General features: G+C 40.9%; 3 annotated features.

Annotated features, from left to right (window-relative positions):
• Window positions 274–443: an enhancer, noted in NCBI's record as "experimental_42032 CRE fragment used in MPRA reporter constructs". NCBI's record gives its function as "activates a minimal promoter by MPRAs in K562 erythroleukemia cells, with activity observed for both the introgressed and non-introgressed 15:85693016 variant alleles {active_cell/tissue: K562}" and the evidence as "EXISTENCE:reporter gene assay evidence [ECO:0000049][PMID:34662402]".
• Window positions 15,382–15,918: an enhancer, noted in NCBI's record as "OCT4-NANOG hESC enhancer chr15:85708039-85708575 (GRCh37/hg19 assembly coordinates)". NCBI's record gives its function as "activates a minimal SCP1, AML or CMV promoter by ChIP-STARR-seq in naive H9 embryonic stem cells {active_cell/tissue: H9 hESC(naive)}" and the evidence as "EXISTENCE:reporter gene assay evidence [ECO:0000049][PMID:30033119]".
• Window positions 19,285–19,424: a silencer, noted in NCBI's record as "silent region_6778". NCBI's record gives its function as "represses an Ori minimal core promoter by ATAC-STARR-seq in GM12878 lymphoblastoid cells {active_cell/tissue: GM12878}" and the evidence as "EXISTENCE:reporter gene assay evidence [ECO:0000049][PMID:35858748]".

The following is a 23,557-nucleotide window of genomic DNA, read 5'->3' on the forward strand; positions in this document are numbered from 1 at the left end:
GACAGTTTTGTGTTTTTGTTTTTGTTTTTTTTTACTAAATTGTGCTAGAATTGAACATCCACATACAAAAAAAAAAAAAAAAAGAATCTAGACACAGACCTTACAACCTTCACACAGATTAACTCAAATTGGCTCATAGGCCCAAATATAAAATGTAAAACTCCTAGAAGACAGCATAAGAGAAAACCTAGGTGAGCATGGGTATACTGAAAACTTTTTAGATACCACAACAAAGGCACATTCTGTGACGGAAATAACTGATCAGCTGGATTCCATTAAAGTTAAAAACCTGCTCTGTAAGAGAATGTGAAGAGGATGAGAAGAAAAGCCACAGACTGGGACAAAATATTTGCAAAATGCACATAAAGATCCAAAATATACAAAGCACTCTTAAAACTCAGCAATAAGAAAACAATCTGATATTAAAATGGGTCAAAGATCTTCACAAAGACTTCACCAGAGAAGATCTACAGATGGCAAATAAGGATATAAAAAGATGCACCACACCATATGTCATCGGGGAAGCACAAGCTAAAACAACAGTGAGATACCACTACACACCTGTTAGAATGGCCAGACTCGAGAACACAGACAACACCAAATGCTGATGAGGATGTGAAGCAACAGGACGTCTCATTCATTGCTGGTGGGAAGGCAAAAATGATACAGCCGCATTGGAAGACAGTTTGGTAGTTTTTCACAAAACTAAATGCAATCTTACCAAATGATCCAATAATCATGTCCTTGGTATATACCCAAAGGAGCTGAAATTTTATGTTCACATAAAATCCTTCACATGAATGTTTACAATGGCCTTATTCATAATTGCTCAAGCTTGGAAACAACCAAGATATCCTTCAGTTAGTGAATGGATAAACTGTGATGCATCCAGACAATGGAATTTTATTCAGCACTAAAAAGAATTGAGCTATCAAGGAATGAAGAGACACAGAGGAACCTTTAATGCATATTACTAAGTGAATGAAGCCGATCTGAAAGGGCTACATACTGTACGATTCCAACTATTGACAGCCTGGAAAAGGCAAAAGTGTAGAGACAGTAAACAGCTTAGTAGTTGCCATGGGGTAAGGGGACACAGAAGCAAAGCACAGCAGATTTTTAGGGCAGTGAAAATACTCTATAATGGTAGATGCATGTCATTATACATTCGTCCATACCCACAGAATGTACAACAGCAGAGTGAATCCTAATGTAAACTAGGGGCTCTGGGTGATAACGATGTGTCAATGTAGGTTCATCAGCTGTAACCAATGTGCCACTCTGCTGGGGGAGTTGCTAATGGGGGACGGCAGAGGGTATGGGGAACACCCATAGTTCAAAAACTTTTGAAAAGCTTCTTCTCAATTTTGTTGTAAACCTAAAAACTGCCCTTAAAAATCAAGTTTTGTTTGTTTGTTTGTTTTTGAGATGGAGTCTCACTCTGTCACTCAGGCTGGAGTGCAATGGCGTGATCTTGGCTCAATGCAACCTCCACCTCGCAGGTTCAAGTGATTCTCCTGCCTCAGCCTCCTGAATAGCTGGGACTACAGGCACCCGCCACCATGCCCAGCTAATTTTTGTACTTTTAGTAGAGATGGGGTTTCACTATGTTGGCCAGGCTGGTCTCGAACTCCCGACCTCATGATCCACCTGCCTTGGCCTCCCACAAGTGCTGGGATTACAGGCATGAGTCACTGCACCTGGCCTCCAAAATCAACTATTTTTAAAAACCCACAAGCCATGTATCATTTTTACAAAATGAGGAAACTCGTGTAGATATGAAAAAAATTACCAAGATATATTTATAAGTGAAAAAGCATAAGCATAATGCAAAATAAGATACACATAGGCAAGCATTTGTTTAAGTGCTAAATTAGCTTAAAATCATGGAATGTATGCACAAGAAACCAGTAACACAGATTGCCTGTGGGAAGGAAACAGTGACTAGGAAACATAGTCCCTGTTCCCTACAACAGCGGGGAAACTTTTCCCATATGCTCATTTGTTCCTTTTGAATTTTGAACAGTGCTCCTGAGGAACTTAAAGATGTAAACAGCCGGGCGCGGTGGCTCACGCCTGCAATCCCAGCACTTTGGGAGGCCAAGGCGGGCAGATCACAAGGTCAGGAGATCGAGACCATCCTGGCTAACACGGTGAAACCCCGTCTCTACTAAAAATACAAAAACAAAACTAGCCGGGCTTGGTGGTGGGCGCCTGTAGTCCCAGCTACTCAAGAGGCTGAGGCAGGAGAATGGCGTGAACTCGGGAGGCGGAGCTTGCAATGAGCCGAGATCGCGCCACTGCACTCCAGCCTGGGCGACAGAGCGAGACTCCGTCTCAAAAAAAAAAAAAAAAAAAAAAAAAAGGTATAAATAAATGTAAAGGTATACCTTATTTTGGGGGTGAATTAATTCTGTAAAAACGTCACTTTTTACCTAAATTGCTCCATGAATTTAGCATGAATCCCAATCGAAGAAAAAAATTTAGTCAAGTGATTCTAAAGTTCATATACTACGTGATGGTGTGATGCAGTAAGAAATGTATATTTGGTCTTTGTCCCCAGTTGCTAACACAGAGCTCCTAAATACTTGCAATTTCCTGGGTGATAGGAGCATCTTTTGTTCTAATGAGTCAGCCCCTCATGAGGAGAGAGCCTTAGATAGTTTCAGGATGAGGCTGCTTGCCAGAAATATCAAGCCATGATTAGAGGGGTAGAACTTTCAGCCCTACCCCTGACCTCCAGGACTGGGAGAAGAGCTGGAGTTTGAGTTAATTACCAGTGGCCAATTATTTAATCAATCACGCCTAGGTAAGGAGTCCTCCATAAAACTCTTAAAAAACAGGGTTGGAAGAGCTTCTGGACTGATAAACACATCAAGGTACTGGGAGGGTGGGTTCCTGGAGAGGGCATGGAGGCTCCACACCCACCTCATGCCTTGTCCTGTGCATCTCTTCCATTTGACTATTCCAGAGGTGTATCCTTCATAATAAACTGGTAATGGTAAGTAAAGTGTTTTCGTGAGTTTTGTGAGCTATTCTAGCAAATTATCGAATCTGAGGAGGGGGTTGTGGGAAGCCTCTGACTTTATTCCAGTCATTCAGAAATATAGGAGACCCAGGTGGGCACGGTGGCTCACGCCTATAATCCCAGCACTTTGGGAGGCTGAGGCGGGCAGGTCACTAGGTCAAGAGATTGAGAGCATCCTGGCCAACATGGTGAAACTCCCTCTCTACTAAAAATACAAAAATTAGCTGGGTGTGGTGGCAGGTGCCTGTAATCCCAGCTACTCAGGAGGCTGAGGCAGGAGAATCACTTAAACCCGGGAGGCGGAGACTGCAGTGAGCTGAGATTGCTCTACTGCACTTCAGCCTGGGTAACAGAGCGAGACTCCATCTCAAAAAAAAAAAAAAAAAAAAAAAAAAAAAGTATGGGAGACTCAAACTTGCAATTGGCACCTGAAGTGGAGACAGTCTTGTAGAACTGAACCCTTCATTTAAGAGTCTGCACTCCAAATAGCGTCAGAACTGAATAGAATTTGGGATATCCAGTTGGTATCCAAAGAGTTGGAAAATTGGTTGATGTGAGGAAAAAAAACCCACACCAAGAAGTGTGAGTTGAAACAGTTCAGAGAAGAAGAGCTAAGAAAATTCTGGAAGTAAAGAGTGATATGGTTTGGCTGTGTGTCCCCACCCAAATCTCATGTTGGATTAAAATCCCATGTGTCCGGGGAAGGACCTGGTGGGAAGTGATTGGATCATGGGGTGGATTTCTCCCTCGCTGTTCTCGTGATAGTGGCTGTCACAAGATCTGATGGTGGAAAAGCGTGTGGCATTTCTCCCTTCACTGTCTCTCCCCTGCTCCGCTATGGTAAGATGTGCTTGCTTCCCCTTCACCTTCCACCATGATTATAAGTTTCCTGAGGCCTCCCACTCATGCTTCCTGTTAAGCCTGCAGAACTGTGAGTCAATTAAACCTCTTTTTTTTATAAATTACCCAGTCTCATGTAGTTCTTTGTAGCGGTGTGAGAATGAACTAATACAAAGGGTAAAAAGAAAGGACTGGCCCTAAGATATGAAAATATAAAGCTGCCATGATTAAAACTGTGAGGCACTGACTTTTTTAGATGAAAAAGTGAAACTGAACAGAGCCCAGAAATAAATCAAAACACACAGGAAATCAGTATGTGATCAACATACTGATATTCAGTGATATTTCACATCACTGAAAAAAAGATGGATTACTCAATAAATGGTGTTGGGATGACTGGGTAGGTGTCTAGGAAGTAAATTTTTTTTTTTGAGGCAGGGTCTTGCTCTGTCGCCCAGGCTGGAGTGCAGTGGTGCAATCACAGCTCACTGCAGCCTTGACCTGGGGCTCAAGCCATCCTCCCATCTCAGCTTCCCAAGTAGTTGAGATTACAGGTGCATACCACCACACCTGGCTCATTTTTTTGTATTTTATAGAGACAGGGTTTCACCATGTTGCTCAGGTTGGTCTCCAACTGCTGGGCTCAAGTGATCCGCCTGCCTCAGTCTCCCAAAGTGCTGGGATTACAGAAGTGAGCCACCATGCCTGGCCAGAAATAAATTCTTAATGTGCCAATGCTTTAAAAGTGAAAGATTAAACATAAAAATATGAGAAGAAACCATGAAGAAAATATTTTTATCATCTCAGAGTAGAAAAGGCATGACATAAAACCCAAAGTTCATATAAGAAAAACCTGCTGATTTCACCTATCGTAAAAGAAAAAAATCTGTTCCAGGCTAGGGCTTGCTTGGGAGGGGAAGGAGGTGTGACATCAGTTGGAGCCCAACAGTAATTCAAATGACAAACAGCAGGGTGGGGATGACAGCACAGATTTATGCGTGCTGCTCACAGCAGTGCTGAATCAGGTTGAGAAATTGGAAACAACCACAATACCCAACAATAGGTGAAGAAAGACTCAGTATGGTTAAGAAGAAAAATTCAAGATGATTTCCAAAAGGGGTGCTTTTTGCAGCCACTAAAAATAATGATTTAGAAAAACCAATCAGTGAAATGGAGAAACGTCAAGACTGTGTTATTCAGTGAAAACACGTCGAACACATATTTCCTTCCACTTTTTTTCCTAATCACATATTGCTTCTGAAGTGTGGAAGGGGAAGCAATGTGTGATTAGGAAAAGAAGTGGAAGGAAATACCCTCAGGCATTTTCAGTGGTTCTCTCTGGAGGCTGGGATTACAGGTGATTTATTTCCTACCTTGTGCTTTTCTGGCTTTCCCCAAACTTTAATCCATTTGATTACTTTTGCAGTTTGTTCTAAGGTTTTTTGTTTGTTTGTTTGTTTGTTTGAGGTGGAGTCTTGCTCTGTTGCCCAGGCTGAAGTGCAGTGACATGATCTCAGCTCACTGCAACCCCTGCTTCCCGAGTTCCAGCAACTCTTCTGCAGCCTCCCGAGTAGCTGGGATTCCAGGCACACCACCACACCTTGCTAATTGTTGTATTTTTAATAGAGACAGGGTTTCACCATATTGGTCAGGCTAATCTCGAACTCCTGACCTCAGGTGATCCACCCGCCTCAGCCTCCCAAAGTGCTGGGATTACAGGCATGAGCCACTGCACCCAGCCTGTTCTAAGGTTTAAAATCAGAATGATGGCCACGCGCGGTGGCTCACACCTGTAATCCCAACATTTTGGGAGGCCAAGGCGGGCAGATCATGAGGTCAGGAGATCGAGACCATCCTGGCTAATATGGTGAAACCCTGTCTCTACTAAAAATACCAAAAATTAGCCGGGCGTGGTGGCACGTGCCTGTAGTCCCAGCTACTCGGGAGGCTGAGGCAGGAAAATCACTTGAACCCGGGAGGCGGAGGTTGCAGTGAGCCGAGATCGCACCACTGCACTCCAGCCTGGGCGATAGAGCGAGATTCCATCTCAAAAAAATAGATAAATAAAATAAAATCAGAATGACTGAGAAGGTAGTGTGAGTCACATGACTAGGAAATGCGAGAGACAGAATCGGACTTTCCAGGGAAGACAACCCTTGGATTTGGACATAATGAGTGTCAGGGCCTGTGGACATCCAGGGAGCAGAGCCTGCTGGAACTGGACTCTAGGGTGCCCCTGGGGTCTGTGCTGCGTCTGGCTCCATGCACAGGACACAGGCCTTGAAATAATCAAGGATGGAGAGGAAGAAGGGGAGAGCCGCACAGCGCAGCAGTACCCTGGGCTGTCAGAGTCCACGCGGCAGCCCTGGAGGAGGTCCAGGACCCCCAGGACCACCTGGGGCTGGAAAGCAACAGAGCAACAGTGTCCAGACTTCCCGCCTCCTGGCCCGCACCCTCATCTAGAGCTTCTCATCTTCCACTGTGAAGGACAAGGTGAGTGTGCCAGCTAGTGTGTCCCTCAGGGACTTAGGCAGAAAAATGAAATTTTAAATAGAGGCAAAAGTTACCAACCTGGAAAAAGACCAAGGTTTGTATGCCCACCTCATTTTAGCTGAACCTCAGGAAAAGGTCAAAGAAAAGTAGGAAGCAGTTTTGCTCCCCCATCTTCTTCAAAGAAAGAAGTAGATGTGGAAGAACTGGCTTCTGTGTCACAAGGAAGCCTTTTCCCCAAGGAATAGGATCAGAAACAATGAGGAAAGGAATTAGTAAAGTCATCAGCTCACAGCAAGCTCAGGAAGAAGCTGAATAAACTTTTGAACAATTTGTCTCATCCTGCTATAAAAAGAGGAAATTTCAAAAAGTTAAGAACTATCGTGTGTATAGAGTTCCACTCTTGTTTACTCCACTTAGATGATCTCAAGTCACCAAGGAAAGAAGCCCATGAATAAGAAAGCAAAGCCCTCCAGCCCCTCACCTAACAGAGTCTGCAGACCAGCAGCTTTGGTGCCTCCAGGAACTGGCCAGAAACACAGCACCTCATACCCGTGCACACTCATGTCTGAGAAGCGTGGCTTAATGAACGTCTTCTTTGCAAAATACACAGGCCCTGCAATGAGGTATTTTCACAAGTCACCCTTCCCATTTCTTCCCATCCCCATTTCACCAAAGCCTGAAACCCCACCTGAAAGGCCCCATTTTTGACTAATAGAAAAGAGGCTAGACTAATAAAAAAGAGAGAAGACTGAAATTGCTAAAAGCATGAATAAGAGGACATCACTACCAACCTTACAAAAATAAAAAGGATTACAAGAGAATATTATAAATAATTGTATGCTAAATATTAGATAACCCAGATAACATAGAAATTCCTAGAAAGATACGAATTAATGAAAAGGACTCAATAAGAAATGCTAAACTTGAATAGACCTATAACAAGTGAAGATGGAATTAGTAATAGAAAAATTTCCCATAAAGTAAAGCCCAGGACCAGGTGGCTTCACCACTGAATTTTATTAAACATTTAAAAAAGAATTAACACCAATCCTTCTCAACATCTTCCTAAAAACAGAAGAGGAGGAAACACCTTCCAACTCATTTTGTGAGGCCAGTATTACCCTGATACCAAAATCAGACAAAAATATCACAAGAAAACTACAGATCAATATCTCTCTTATTAATTGAACATAAAAGTCCTCTATAATATACTAGCAAACTGAATGTAGCAACATGTAAAAATGATTGTACATCACAGCGAGGTGGAACTTAGGAATGCAACATCAGTTAAGCATACAATAATCAATCAATGTAATACACCACATTGATAAAAAAACAAAACCACACGGTTATCTCAACAGAAAGAATAAAGGCATTTGACAAAATTTAACACTCTTTCATGATAAAAATTAATAAATAAGCAAATAAATAAGAGGGAACTTCCTCAGCCTGATAAGGAGCATCCAGCTGTTTGGGAGCTCTACATAGGGATGACTGATTAAATCATTGGCCACTGGTGGTCAACTTAACCTTCAGCTTCTCTCCTCTCCCCGCAGGTTGGTGGGTGGAGCTAAAAGCCTCAACCCTCTAATCATGCCTTGGTCTTTCCTGTAACCAGCCCCTATTTGGAAGCTATAAGGGCCCCAGCCACCAGTCATCTCATTAGCATAGAAGAGACACTCATAACTCCAGAGATTCCAAGTGTTTTACAAGTTATATGTCAGGAAACAGGGATGAAGACCATTATATGTATTTCACAATATCACACAAGGGTTCCATCAACCCAAAGAAACACTGTACACTGCAAGCCAGAACCCCAAAAAGCTAGTCACATCCTTCCTTCAAATGAGAAATGGTTTGTGATAATGAACATACAGAATGAAAAAACAAATCTATTATGAGCCAACCCAGATTACAACCCTTTGATTATTCATAAGAAATGAAAAAAGTGTTTAACTTCTTCTACAAAAGTATTCATTATGTTTAATTTATATTTAAAATATTTAAACCATAGTGTTACAGGACAGGAAAATATGTTACAGGAAAGGGGTCCCAATCCAGACCCCAGGAGAGGGTTTGGATCTCATGCAAGAAAGAATTCAGGGTGAGTCCACAGTGCAAAGTGAAAGCAAGTTTATTAAGAAAGTAAAGGAATAAAAGAATGTCTACTCCATAGACAGACCAGCCCCGAGGGCTGCTGTTCATCCATTTTTATGGTTATTTCTTGATGATACGCTAAACAAGGGGTGGACTATTCATTCCTCCCCTTTTTAGACCACATAGAGTAACTTCCTGATGTTGCCATGGCATTTGTAAACTGTCATGGTGCTGGTGGAGTGTAGCAGTGAGGACAACCAGAGGTCACTCTCATTGCCATTTTGGTTTTGGTGGGTTTTGGCCGGCTCCTTTACTGCAAACTGTTTTATCAGCAAGGTCTTTATGACCTGTATTTTGTGCTGACCTCCTGTCTCACCCTGTGACTTAAAATGCCTTAACCATCTGGGAATGCAGTCCAGTAGGTTTCAGCCTCATTTTGTCCAGCTCCTATTTAAGATGGAATTGCTCTGGTTCACACGCCTGTGACAATAGGGCCCCAAACCTCAAAGAAACCCCTAAAGATTTTCCACTGAAAATAAAATATAAATAAACAAAAATAAAAACAGATAAATTAAAAAGCCCTGGGCTGGATTTGATAAAAGACATGAATCTGCAAAACCAAGAGGCTCACCAAATTTCAAGTAAGATAAAAATCAAAGAGACCCACACTCAAACCCATCATAATCAAACTGTTGAAAGCCAAAGACAACCTTGAAAGCACCAAGAAGCACCTCATCATGTACAAATTATGCTCAATAAGATTACTCCCAATTTCTCATCAGATATCATGGAGTCCAGAGGCAACAGGATGACATATTTTAAAGTGCTTAAAGAAACAACTCTACTGACATTTTGGTCTCCAACTTCTAGCCTCCAGAATAGTGAGAAAATAAATTTTCTGTTGTTTAAACCACCCAGTCTACAGTATTTTGTTATGGCAGCCCTAGCAAACTAATACTGATGGAAAATGTAAGCCCCACAGTAAAATTTGATTTTACTGTAGTCTTCTTCACAAAGAAAATACCAGCAGACTATACACAAAGGAAATGAAAAGGGAATCACAATGGTTCACTACTGAAAATTAACAAAATACAAAAGGAAAACAAGGGACAAAAAATTATAAGATATATAGAAAACAAATAGCAAAGTGGCAGAAGTCTTTTCTTATCAGTAATTACTTTAAATGTAAATAGACGAAACTTTCCAATCAAGACAGAGAATGACAAAATGGGTTTTTAAAAACATGAACCAACTATATGCTGTCTACAAGAAACACACTTTAAATTAAAACACACAGGTTGAAAGTGAAAGGATAGAAAAAGATATTCCATGCAGATAGTTCCCAAAAGGGAGCTGGGGTTGCTATACTAATATTGGACAAAACAGGCTTTATGCCAAAAACTATTACAAGGGACAAGGACATTATATATCAATAAATAATTAATTTATTAATAAGTTGATCATCAAGATTATATAATTATAAGTATATATTATATATAATTATATAGTTATAAGCATATATTCACCAAACATCAGAGTTCCAAATGTATGAAGCAAATATTGACAGGAGTGAAGGGAGAAATCATTCTACAATAATAGCTGTAGACTTCAATGTCCCACTTTTTGTTATGTTTTATGTTTAGAGACAGGGTTTTGCTCTGTTGTCCAGGCTAGAGTACTATGGTGTGATCATAGCACAGCTTCCAACTCCTGGGCTTAAGCAATCCCCCTGCCTCAAACCCCCCGGGTAACTAGGAATACAGGTGCATACCACCACTTGACTTTTTTTTTTTTTTTCCAGAAACGGAGTCTTGCTATGTTGCCCAGGCCAATCTCAAACTTCTGGCCTCAAATGATCCTCCTGCCTCAGCTTCCCAAAGTGGTGGGATTACAGGCATAAGCCACTATACCTAGCCAACGTCCCACTTTTAATAACAGATAGAAAATCTAGGCAGAAGATTAAGGATATAGAAAGCATGAACAACACCATAAACCAACTAGACCTAAAGACATATATAGAACACTCCACCCAGTAACAGCAGAATATACATTCTTCTCAAGTGTACACAGAAGATTCTCCAAGATAGACCATATGTTAGAATACAAATCAAGTCCCAATAAATTTAAAAAGTTTGAAATCATACAAAGTATCTTTTCTGACCACAATGGAATAAATCTAAAAATCAATAATAGGCGAAAAAATCCACAAATATATGGTCATTAACCAACAATTTTTTTTTTTTTTTTTTTTTTTTTTTTAGACAGGGTCTTATTGTATCTCCCAGGCTGGAAGGCAGTGGCATGATCTTGGCTCACTGCAACCTCCACTTCCTGGGCTCAAGTGATCCATCTACCTCAGTCCCCCAAATAGCTGGGACTACAAGTACACACCACTATGGCCGACTAATTTTTGTATTTTTTTGTAGAGATGAGGTTTCACCATGTTGCCCAGGCTGTCTCAAACTCCTGAGCTCAAGCAATCCACCCACCTTGGCCTCCCAAAATGCTAGGATTACAGGTGTGAGCTACCATGCCTGGCCAACAACACATTCTTTTTTTCTTGATGGAGTCTCACTCTGTCGCCCAGGCTGGAGTGCAATGGCATGGGCTCGGCTCACTGCAACCTCTGCCTCCCAGGTTCAAGCGATTCTCCTGTCTCGGCCTCCCAAGTAGCTGGGATTACAGGTGTCTGCCACCATGCCCGACTAATTTTTGTATTTTTAGTAGAGATAGGGTTTCACCATGTTGGCCAGGCTGCTCTCAAACTCCTGACCTCAGGTGATCCACCCATCTCGGCCTCCCAAAGTGTTGGGATTACAGGCCTGAGCCACCACGCCTGGCCAACAACACATTCTTAAATAAATTATAAGTTTAAGAAATAAGAGAAATTAGAAAACACTTAGAGACAAATGAAAATGAAAACACAACATACCAAAACTTATAGGATGCAATAAAGGCAGTACTCAGAGGGAAATGTATAGCTGTAAATGCCTACATAAAAAAAAAGAAAATATATCTCAAATCAATAAACTAACTTCATACGTTAAGGCTCAAGAAAAAGAAGAGCAAACTAAACCAAAAGCTAACACAAAGAGGGAAACAAAGATCAGAGTAGAAATAAATAAAAATAGATCATGGAAAAACAATAGTGAGATCAATGAAACCAAAAGTTAGTTTATTGAAAAAAATCAATTTTGACAAACCTTTAGCTTGACTGACACACACATACACATGAATATGCAAATAATCAAAATCAGAAATGAAAGCAGGTACATTATTTCTGAACAAACAGTAATAAAAAGCATTATAAAAGAATCCTATGAACAATTATACACCAAAAATTGGATAACCTAGATGAAATGGACAAATACCTAGAAACACATAAATTACATAAATTGACTCAAAAAAGGAATTGAAAGTCTTACCAGACATATAACAAGTAACATCCTTTAATCAAAACTTCTCAACAAAGAAAAGCCTAGAACCAGATGGATTCACTGGTGAAGTCTTCTAAAGATTTAAAGAAAAATTAGTATCAATCTTTCTCAAACACTTCCAAAAAAATTCAAAGAGGAGGGAATACTTCCTAACTTATTCAGATGCCAGCATTACCCTATAACAAAGGTATATTAAGACATAAAAAAGAAAAAAATAAAAATCAATATCGCTTATGAATATCAATACAAACATCTTCAACAAAACACTAGCAAACCAAATACAGCACATTATATATCATGACCAAGTGGAATTTGTAACAGGAATGCAAAAGTTGTTCAACATAAGAAAATCAAATTAATGTAACACATCACATTAGTAGAATGATTATGTTAATCGGTACAGAAAAGGCATTTACAAAAGCCAACACTTTTTCATGATAAAAACTCTCAGAATTAAAAACAGAACTTTATTTAACAATTCTTAGAAAACTAGGAATAGAGGGAAGATTCTTCAGCATAATAAAGGCACTTATGAAAAGCCCACAGCTAACATCATACTCAATGGTAATAGACTGAAAGTTTTTCCCATAATTTCACAAACAAGTCAAAAATGCCTGCTTTCACCAGTGCTATTCAACATTGTATTGGAAGTTTCTATCTTTTTGTTGTTGTTGTTGTTGTTTGCCAGGGTCTCACTCTGTTATACAGGCTGGAGTACAGTTGTACCATCATAGCTCACTGCAGCCTTGACCTCCTGGGCTGAAGCGACCCTCTCATCTCAGCCTCCTGAAGCTGAGACCACAGGCAAGTGCCACCACACCTGGGTTAATTTTTGTTTTTATAGAGACAGGGTTTTGCTATGTTGCTCAGGCTTGTCTCAAACCCCTGGGCTCAAGTGATCCACCTGCCTCTGCCTCCCAAAGTGTTGGGATTACAGGTGCGAGCCACTGCACCAGGCCTGTACTAGGAAGTTCTAGCCAGAGCAATTAGACAAGAAAAAGAAATAAAAGGCATTCAAACTGAAAAGGAAGTAAAACTATATTCACAGACAATATGATCTTATACACAGAAAATCCCAAAGAATGTAAGGCAACTCCTAGAGCAAATAAATGATTCAGCAAAATTTCAGGGTACAAGATCAACACACAAAAACTAGTTATGTTTCTATATACCAGTATTGAACAATCAGAAAAGGAAATTTTAAAAGCAATTCCATGTACACTATCATCTAAAAGCATGAAATATCTGGGAATAAATTTAACCAAGGAGTGAAAGACTTGTACACTGAAAATTACAAAACATTCCTGAAAGTCCTAAATAAAGAAAGGCCTAAATAAATGGAAAGACATCTTGTGTTAACGAATGGAAAGAATTAATATCAGTACTACCCACAGCCATCTACAGATTCAAGGCAACTTCTAACAAAATTTCAAAAGCCTTTTTTGCAGAAATGGAAAATCTGATCTTCAATTCATATGAAATTGCAAGGAGCTTATGTTATGGGCTGAATTGTGTCCTCCTGCCCTCTCAATTCACATGAATCTGTAACCCCCTAGTACCTCAGAATATGACTGTATTTGGAGATAGGACCTTTACAGAAGTGATTGAGGGCCGGGCACAGTGGCTCATGCCTGTAATCCCAGCACCTTGGGAGGCTGAGGTCAGGAGTTCAAGACCAGCCTGACCAACATGGTAAAACCCCATCTCTACTAAAAGTACAAAAATTAGCCAGGTGTGGTGGTGGGCGCCTGTAATCCCAGCTACTTGGGAGGCTGAGGCAGGAGAATTGCTTAAACCCGGGAGGTGGAGGTTGCAGTGAGTCAAGATTGTGCCATTGTGCTCCAGGCTGGGCAACAAGAGCAAAACTTCGTCTCAAAAAAAAAAAAGAAAGTGATTGAGTTAAAATAAGGCTGTTAGGTGTCACTCAATGGACACATTGAGTGATATCAGTGATGCAAGTACACAAAGAAAACACCATTTGAGGATGTAGCAAGAAAGTAGCCATCTGCAAGCCAAGGAGAGAGGCCTCAAGAGAAACCATACCTGCTGACACCTTGATCTTAGACTTCCGGCCTCCAGAACTGTAAGAAAATAAAATTATGTTGTTTAAGCAACCCAGTTTGTGGTATTTTGGTGTTTTTGTTTTTGTTTTTTTTGAGATGGAGTCTCACTCTGTCACCCAGGCTAGAATGCAGTGGCAAGATCTCGGCTCACTGCAACCTCTGCCTCCCAGGTTCAAGTGATCCTCCTGTCTTAGCCTCCCAAGTAGCTGGGACCACAAGCTCACGTCACCACACCTGGCGAGTTTTTGTATTTTTAGTAGAGACGGGGTTTCACCATGCTGGCCAGGCTGGTGTGAAGTTCTGACCTCAGGTGATCCACTTGCCTTGGCCTCTCAAAGTGTTGGGATTACAGGTGTGAGCCACTGCACCAAGCCAGTTTGTGGTATTTTTTTAATGGCAACCCTAGAAAACTAATATAGCTCAAACGGCCAAAAAAAAAAAATCTTGTAAAAGAACTTGAGGGGATTCACAGTTTCCAACTTCAAAACTTATTACAAACCTACAGTAATCAAAACAGTGTGGTACTGGCATAAGGACAGATATATAGACCAATGGAATAGAACTGAGAGTTCAGAAATAAACTTGTACATCTGTGGCCAATTGACTTTTGACAAGGGTGCCAAGTCTGTTCAATGTGGAAAGAACAGTCCCTTCAACAAATCGTGCTGGGTTAACTGGAGTTCCACATGTAAAAGAATGAAGCTGGGCCTCTACCTCATACCATACACTAAAATTTTAAAAATGGATTAAAGACCTAAATATAAAAGCTAAAACTATAAAACTCTTAAAAGAAAACATGAGTAATTCTTCATGACCTTGGACTTGGCAATGAGTTCTTAGATATGACACCAAAAGTACAGGCAACAAAAGAAAAAATAGGCAAACTCAACTTCATCAAAATAAACTTATCTGTTGCGGGAAGTCAGGGACCCCAAATGGAGGGACCGGCTGAAGCCGTGGCAGAAGAACATAAATTGTGAAGATTTAATGGACATTTATCAGTTCCCAAAATACTTTTATAATTTCTTATGCCTGTCTTTACTGCAATCTCTGAACATAAATTGTGAAGATTTCGTGGACATTTATCACTTCCCCAATCAATACTCTTATAATTTCTTACACCTGTCTTTAATCTTTCAATCCCATCATCTTTGTAAGCTGAGGATGTATGTTGCCTCAGGACCCTGTGATGATTGTGTTAACTGTACAAATTGTTTGTAAAACATGTGTGTTTGAACAATATGAAATCTGATTGTAAAACATGGGTGTTTGAACAATATGAAATCAGGGCACCCTGAAAAAGAACAGAATAGCAGCGATTTTCAGGCAACAAGGAAAGATAACCATAAGGTCTGACTGCCTGGGGGGTCAGGCAGAATAGAGCCATATTTTACTTCTTGCAGGGAGCCTATAGACAGATGTGTGAGTAGGAGAAATATTGCTGAATTCTTTTCCCAGCAAGGAATATTAATAATTGATAACCCTGGGAAGGAATGCATTCCCAGGGGTAGGTCTATAGACGGCCACGATGACAGTGTCTGTCTTATGTGATTGAGATAAGGGATGAAATACGCCCTGGTCTCCTGGAGTGCCCTCAGGCTTTCTAGGATTGGAAATTCCAGCCTGGTGAATTCTAGTCAGACCGGTTGTCTGCTCTTGAACTCTGTTTCCTGTTAAAATGTTTATCAAGACAATGCGTGCACAGTGGGACACAGACCCTCATCAGTAATTCTAATTTTGCCTCCATCTTGTGATCTTTATGGCCCTTTGAATCATGTGATCCTTGTGACCTACTCCCTGTTTGTATACCCCTCCCCTTTCAAAATCCCTAATAAAAACTTGCTGGTTTTGCGGCTCAGGTTGACATCACAGAACCTGCCAATATGTGATGTCACCCCCAGAGGCCCAGCTGTAAAACTTCTCTTTGTACTCTTTCTCTTTATTTCTCAGATCAGCTGACACTTAGGGAAAACAGAAAAGAACCTATGTTGAAATACTGGGAGCTGGTTCCCCTGATAGCTATCAAAGAACACTATCAACAGCGTTAAAGGCAACACACAGAGTGAGAGAAAATACTTGCAAGTCACATATTTCATAAGGGATTAACATCCAGAATATATAAAGAACTCCTACAACTCAAGAAAACAAACCACTTGATTCAAAAATGGGCAAAGGATTTGAATGGACATTTCTCCAAAGACGACACACAAATGGTCAATAAGCACATGAAAAGATGCTCAACATCACTAACCATTAGGGAAATGCAAGTCAAAAACACAGCGAAATATCTTCACTTCACACCCATTAGGATAAGTACTATTTTTTTAATGGAAAATAACATGTTGGCAAGGATGTGGAAAAAATCAGAAGTCTTGCACATTGCTGGTGAGAATGTAAAATGGTGCAGCTCCTGTGGAAGATATTATGCATGGTATTTCCTCAAAAACTTAAACAGAATTACTAGATGACCCAGCAATTCCACTTCTGGGAATATAACCCAGAAAATTACAAAACATTATTGAAAGTCCTAAATAAAGAAAGGCCTAAATAAATAGAAAGACATCTTGTGCTAATGAATGGTTAGCAAAGCAATGATTCCAACAGATATTTGTACACTCATGTTTACAGCAGCATTATTCATAATAGCCCAAAGATAGAAACAACCCACATGTCCTTCAACAGATGAATGGATAAACAAAATGTGGTATATACACACAACAGAACATTATTCAGCCACAAAAGGAATATAATTTTGCTATATGCTACAATAAGGATGGACCTTGAAAATATTACGCTTAGTGAAAGCAGCCAGGCATAGGAGGACAAATATTGATGATTTCACTTATATGAGGTACCTAGAAAAGGCAAATTCATAGAGACAGAAAATGGAACTGAAGTTACTTGGGGTTTGGGGAAAGGGGGAATGGGGAGTTATTTAATGAGTGCAGAGTTTTTATTGGGGATGATGAAAAAGTTTTTTGAGTACACACAATGATCATACATAACATGAATGCATTTAACATCACTGAATTGTACACTTATGGGTGGTTAAAATGATAAATATTAAATTTTATCACACTTTAAAAACAACACTTTACCAAATTTCATAGAATTGATGATAGTTAAATGAGAGGAAATGAAGTTCACTTCCATTATCCATAACATAGATATTTTCCACAAGGCATCTGATGAATAATATAATGACAACCATGAGTTTTAAACACTACATTTTTGCCAGCTTTGGAATTTCTCCAAATGAGCCTTTTTGTGCTCCACACATACTTTTGCTACAACCATCTGTACCAGAGCTCAGCAGATTCCCACCTCAGGTTACACCGAATTAGTGATTTCTAGTCTTCTTTAAAAATATTCTTACCTATAGTTGTTCTATGTAGATTACTCATAAAGCCAAATTCTCAGTCTCTTCAAACTTGGCATTGACACTTTGAGCAGTACTGGTAACATCTCTTGACTCATCAAAAGCCAAGGAAAACCACTCAAAATCATTTCCCTTCCTTCTTTCTGTTGGTAAATTAGAGACAGGGTCTCACTCTGTTACCGATGCTGGAGTGCAGTGGAGCCATCATAGCTTACCGCAGCCTTGAACTCCTGGGCTCAAATGATCCTTCCACCTCAGCCTCTCAAGTAGCTGGGACTTTAAAATTAGTGTGCCACCACACATGGCTAATTTTTTTTTTTTTTAACTTTTAGTAGAGACAGATCCTCGTTATGTTGCCCAGGCTGGTCTTGAACTCCTAGCCTCAAGCAATCCTCCTGCCTCGGCCTCCCAAAGTGCTGAGCCACCATGCCTTACATTTCTAAATGTTTAAAAGATGAAGAAGAATATGGCCAGTGAAAATTCAAATTTCAGTGCCCATAACGTTTTATTGGAACACAGCCATATTGAAACACACCCTAGCACCACTGCTCTCCAGCCTGGGTGACAAGGTGAGACCTTGTCTCAAAAAAAAAAAAAAAAAAAAAAAAAGTAAAAGACATTTTTATACACCTGCTGGAGGGTGGTCTTAAAAATAATAAAAACTAACATTAAAAAGCCATTTTTAGTTTCTGGCTCACACACAAACAAGCAGCTGGCTATCATTTGCCAAACTCTGCAGTTGAAGAGAGAAAATAAGCATTATTCATATTTCTCACAAGTTCTAATGGGAAAAAGAGACAACCTCAAGTAAAGAGGAAGGAAGGGAGGAAGAACTCCGAATGCTGGTTCTTTGAAACTATCGGTAAAATAGTCAAACACATGACATGTTTAATTCAGAAAATGAAGACTATTAAATATGAGACATAATAGATTTGGAATCTTCCTAGTTACAAGGGAAAACTATGCATAATTACATACTAATAAAATGGAAAATATTGATGACATAGGCAATACAGGAAACATATATGAATTTACAGATATGGGGGGAAATGTGTGCTTCAGTGAAACACTATGCACTGACTGATAAGAGCAATAACCCGGGTTCTGATTCAGATTCTACAAGGGCTCTGAACCTTCCACTGCCTTCAAGCGATTTTGCAACTTTGTAAGTTACAGATACCTGAGAGCATGCAGAAAATTCCTGTCTAGAGACTTGCAAATAAGATTGTTCCAATAGAGCTTCAGTTGACTTCCCCACTGTAGAAGGAAGAGGCTAGTTTTGTGTCCATTTATAAATTCCTCTCAATGTTACTTTACTCCAAATTAATTTGTCCTTCTTTGACTTCTCCTTTGAACTGATTATAACATCTCAGTTCCCCCAATTGAGTTTTTTAAAAAAAATCTTTGGCCGGGCGCGGTGACTCAGGCCTGTAATCCCAGTACTTTGGGAGACCGAGGCGGGCGGATCATTTGAGGTCAGGAGTTCGAGAGCAGCCTGGCCAACATGGTGAACCCCGTCTCTACTAAAAGTACAAAAATTAGCCAGGCGTGGTGGCGGGCGCCTGTAATCCCAGCTACTCGGGAAGTTGAGGCAGGAAAATCGCTTGAACCTAGGAGGTGGAGGTTGCTGTAAGCCGAGATCACACCACTGCACTCCAGCCTGGGAGACAGGAAGACTCCGTCTCAAAAAATAAAAATAAATTTTAAAAATCTTTAACATGTACTCATTTTATATAAGTATTTAACTTCTGTTAGTTGAAAATAACGAAGGAAGATATGGGAAAAAAGAATTACCTCCAAAAGTTTCTGAGGGCACTTTCAATCTTCAGCAAGCACTGTATCCATGACACAGAAAGCAGAAGACAGCCTAGTTTATGCCAACAGCATTACTCCGACGCATAGAATTTGAGAGGATACCCCCGAGGGTACCCGGCAGAGCACGGCACTGCCCGGAGAGCTCACTCGGAACACCTGTGCTGGGCCCGCCCCAAACTGAAACACAAATCACAGCCCCTGGGGGCGGGGGTGGGGGCGGGGCCTGACCATTTGCGTTTAATGAGATCCTCAGGTAGCTCTAATGAGCACTATGATTGGTCGTGTTTTAGAGGAAAGAACCAAAGCCTAGAGAGGTTACCCAGCACAGCTGGAGCACTGTCACAGCTGCTTCCCGCAGTCCCCGTGCAGCCTCCCGTCCCTGCCCCTCCCTTACTTCGTATCTAAGTTACCTAGGGCAGGTTTCCTAGGTGGGCGAGCTGGGAAGATGAAAATAATGACATCGCCCCCCAGTGGAGGAGTGTGGGAAGTATCACAGCAAGCTGCCCAGTTTTATTATTATTGGTAATTTTTCTCAGTTTGGGCTTTGTGTAAGCTCCCCCTTGTCTCAGCTCCCCGCCCCGCCATACTTACATAAAGCCCAATCCTTTCCTCACCATTAACATCAGACCTAGGGGAGGGGCTTCTTTATGCAGAGCTGTATTTAGAAGGTAAGAGTATTTGTTGAGAATGCTCTACCCCCCCTCCACATACAAATACAAACGTTTGCTGGGAATAAATAATCTCTTCCTTAGAGTAGAATACGAATAAATATAAAAGGAATGATGGATTTTGAATATCAACAATAGATGCTAAAGCTAGTGGGCAAAAAGTTGATGAGGAACAGATATTTTGCCTCAAAATATCTGCTCACAATTACAAAGGGGAAAGTTTACAGTAGAGAAATTTGACAGATGTACCTTAATCCAAGGTGCTCAAAGTAAACATCGGGAGGCTGAAGTGGGAGGATCACCTGAGCCTGAGAGGTCAAGGCTGCAGTGAGCTGTGATTGTGCCACTGCACTCCGGCCTGGGGGACAGAGTGAGACCCTGACTGTAAAAATAAAATAAAATAAATAAATAAATAAATAAATAAATATATATATATATATATATACGTATATATATATATGTATATATATATGTGTATATATATATATATATATATATATATATATATATATATATATATATAGTTAGGAGGAAAAGTTCTAGTGTCTTTAGCACTATACGGTGACAATTTATTATATATTTTCAAATCGCTAGAAGGGTGGATTTTGAATGCTCCCAGAACAAAGAAATGGTGAATGCTTGAGGTGGTGGAGGCACTAATTGCCATGATTTGATCATTGCACATTGTATACATGTATAAAAATATTATACTACACCCCATAAATATGTACAACTGTTCTGTGTCAGTTAAAAATTATAATAAAAGCAAAAAATCTACTCTTTTAGAAAATTTCAAGTATACATTATTAACTATAGTCATCATTCTGTACAACAGATCTCCAGAACTTACTAACATTATATTTAATTCTGATCAAATTACTAGATACACAAAGTTACGAACAAAATGGTATCTGGAGCAAGAAATGCTCAGTAAAACGAACAAAAAGAAAACGAGAAGAAAAGGACAAAATGGTGACAAAAGGCTTATATCAAAAACCATTTCTTGTGCCCTTTCCTTTCTTGCCTTTGAGTGCTAATTCCCAGAGGCCATCACTTTAAACTCATTTTGCTACGTCATCTGGTATTTATAATCATATTTCTAAATAACGTTTATGTTGCCATTTCTTGATTTGTTTTCCTCAGTATCTGTTGACTTCCTGGCATAGCACAGTATAGGGATTTACCTCCCTTATGAGATCTTAACAATTTCCTTGCCTTCATTCTACCAATTTGATTGGATCACAATCTTATGAAATCAAAAATATTTACATTCTTGTAGACACCTAAATATTCTTCCCTCAGCCAAGTCCTGCACTAAAATCGTTTCATTTCTTTCTTCCCCTGGAGTTAATAATTGCTTCAGATATTTTCCCTTCATTTGCTTATATGTTTTTGTACCTACCTATTACCTACCTTTTTTTTTTCAGATGCTCCAACTGATCTATCAAATGTCTAGTGATAATTATCCAAAAACTAAGAAACACTGGATACTGTATCAGCCCTATTATTTTCCTGGAGGCTTCCCTCTCTCCCTTGCCCTCCATCCTGCTCCAAACTGGACTCAGCTCTCTCAGCCTGTGGCACGACTGGCATCCTGGCATGTCTCTGCATCATCGTGTGAATTTCCTGCTGCCGCTTCTGTGTGCATCCTTCATCCTGCTCCAAACTGGACTCAGCTCTCTCAGCCTGTGGCACCACTGGCATCCTGGCATGTCTCTGCATCATCGTGTGAATTTCCTACTGCCGCTTCTGTGTGCATCTCCTGTTCCCTGGCCCCAGATCTTCTTTTTCCTTGGTTTATCCTCTCATTGTGTTGCAGCACATCTTCCAGTGGCTTCCTGAGACAGAGTGAATGGAAGCCAAGCTTTCTGACCCCATATATTTTAAAATGTCATTGTTCTACCTCAACTCCTGATTACTAGTTTGGCTGGATGCAATGCTGTAGTTTAAACAGAACTTCTCCTCACATTGGGAAATATTGCTCTATTATTTTTATTTTCTAGTTCCCAGTGTTGTTGGGAAGAAGTCAGTGTCATGCAAAGTCTTGGCTCTTTACATACAACCTGTCTTTTCTCTCTGGAAGATTTTAGGAATTTCTCTCTATCCTTGGTTTTCTAGAATTTCTCAGTGATGTGCCTTATTGCAGGTCTTTCTTCATTCACTGTGCTAGTCACTTGGTAGATGCTTTTTGTTGGTGTAAGAGCTGAGGCAGGACTGGCTTGTCAGTCATAATATAAAAGAGTCTTGGAACATGTCCAGGGTCCAGGGTCCAGGTTCTAAAACCCCTCGTGGCCTTTGGAACACCAAGTTCTGTGCCAAAGGGTGGAAGGCTGCCCTGCCGCACCACAATCTAAGCCCAGGGCATAAAATCCCTTGTGGCTTTGATGGAATCCAGGGCTCAGGGCATAAAACCCCTCATAGCCTCTGGAGTGTGCACAGACTTGTTGGTTGCTCTCCCAGGCTCAGAAACATGTTCCCCATTATCTCAAGCAGCAGAGCATATTCTATATGCATCAAAGAAAATGCAAAACCATCACAGCTACACTTGATGCACCGGTACCTTTCTACCACCACGTCCCCACACCCTCACCTGTTTACCCCCACATCCACATGTCCTCACCACCTGCTTGCTTGTTTGATCACCAGTAAATAGTGTGGGCTCCCAGAGCTCAGGGCCTTCACAGCCTCCAATCTAGCATTGGCCCCCTGGACCCACTTTATGCACTCTTGTCTTTTCTCATTCCTTTGACCCCGCTGGACTTTGGAGCCTCCATGGCCTGGTGTTGGGCCTGATCACCCCAACACTTTTGAACTAGAAAATTATGTCCTTCTGGCTGGGTGTGGTGGCTCATGCCTGTTCCCAGCACTTTGGGAGGCCGAGGTGGCAGATCATAAGGTCAGGAGATTGAGACCATCCTGGCTAACATGGTGAAACCCCATCTCTACTAAAAATACAAAAAATTAGCCAGGTGTGGTGGCACGCACCTGTAGCCCCAGCTACTCAGGAGGCTGAGGCAGGAGAATCGCTTGAATCAGAGAGGCAGAGGTTACAGTGAGCCAAAATTGCGCCATTGCACTCCAGGCTGGGTGAAAGAGTGAGACTGCATCTCAAAAAAAAAAAAGAAAAAGAAAGAAAATAAGAAAATTATGTCCTTCTATTGTGGGAAGCTACCAGCAGGTTCATGTGAGCTGGGTAATCTCATTCTTTTCTTCCAAGGACAGAGGTAACAAGGCCCTGGGAACCTTATAAGTGGATGGGGGGAAAGGGGGCCTGAGGTGAATCCAACAAAGCTGCAGCACCCACTGAGCTCATGTCCCAGGGCTAGGCTCTGCCTGAGGACAGGAGACATGGGTAAGACCCACTTCCTGCCCAGTCCCATGGTGGGGCTCAGGACACACATGGTCCAGGAGGCCCCCAGTTCCGGGCTGCATTTACATGCACCTACCTGCATGTAGCATTCTGTTCGCCACAGGACAACTTAGGGGAAGGAGTAGCTCCACAGAGCAGGACAGGAGGGAGGTAAATAATCATGGGGTGGGGAGTGGCCTTGTGGGGAAGGGGCAAAGGCAGGGTTGTGTGTGTATGTGTATTGGGGGAAATGGGGAGAGCATCTGAAGTTTTATCTGCCCCCTTTTTCTGGCCACTGCACCCCTTTTTTCCTGAATAGTTTTTTCTTCCCATTATGGACTGAATGTCTCTGACTCCTCCAAATTCACACTGAAGCCCTAATCCTCCG

The sequence above is a fragment of the Homo sapiens genome, chromosome 15 (assembly GCF_000001405.40).
Source record: "Homo sapiens chromosome 15, GRCh38.p14 Primary Assembly".
In the NCBI taxonomy this organism is placed as follows: domain Eukaryota; kingdom Metazoa; phylum Chordata; class Mammalia; order Primates; family Hominidae; genus Homo; species Homo sapiens.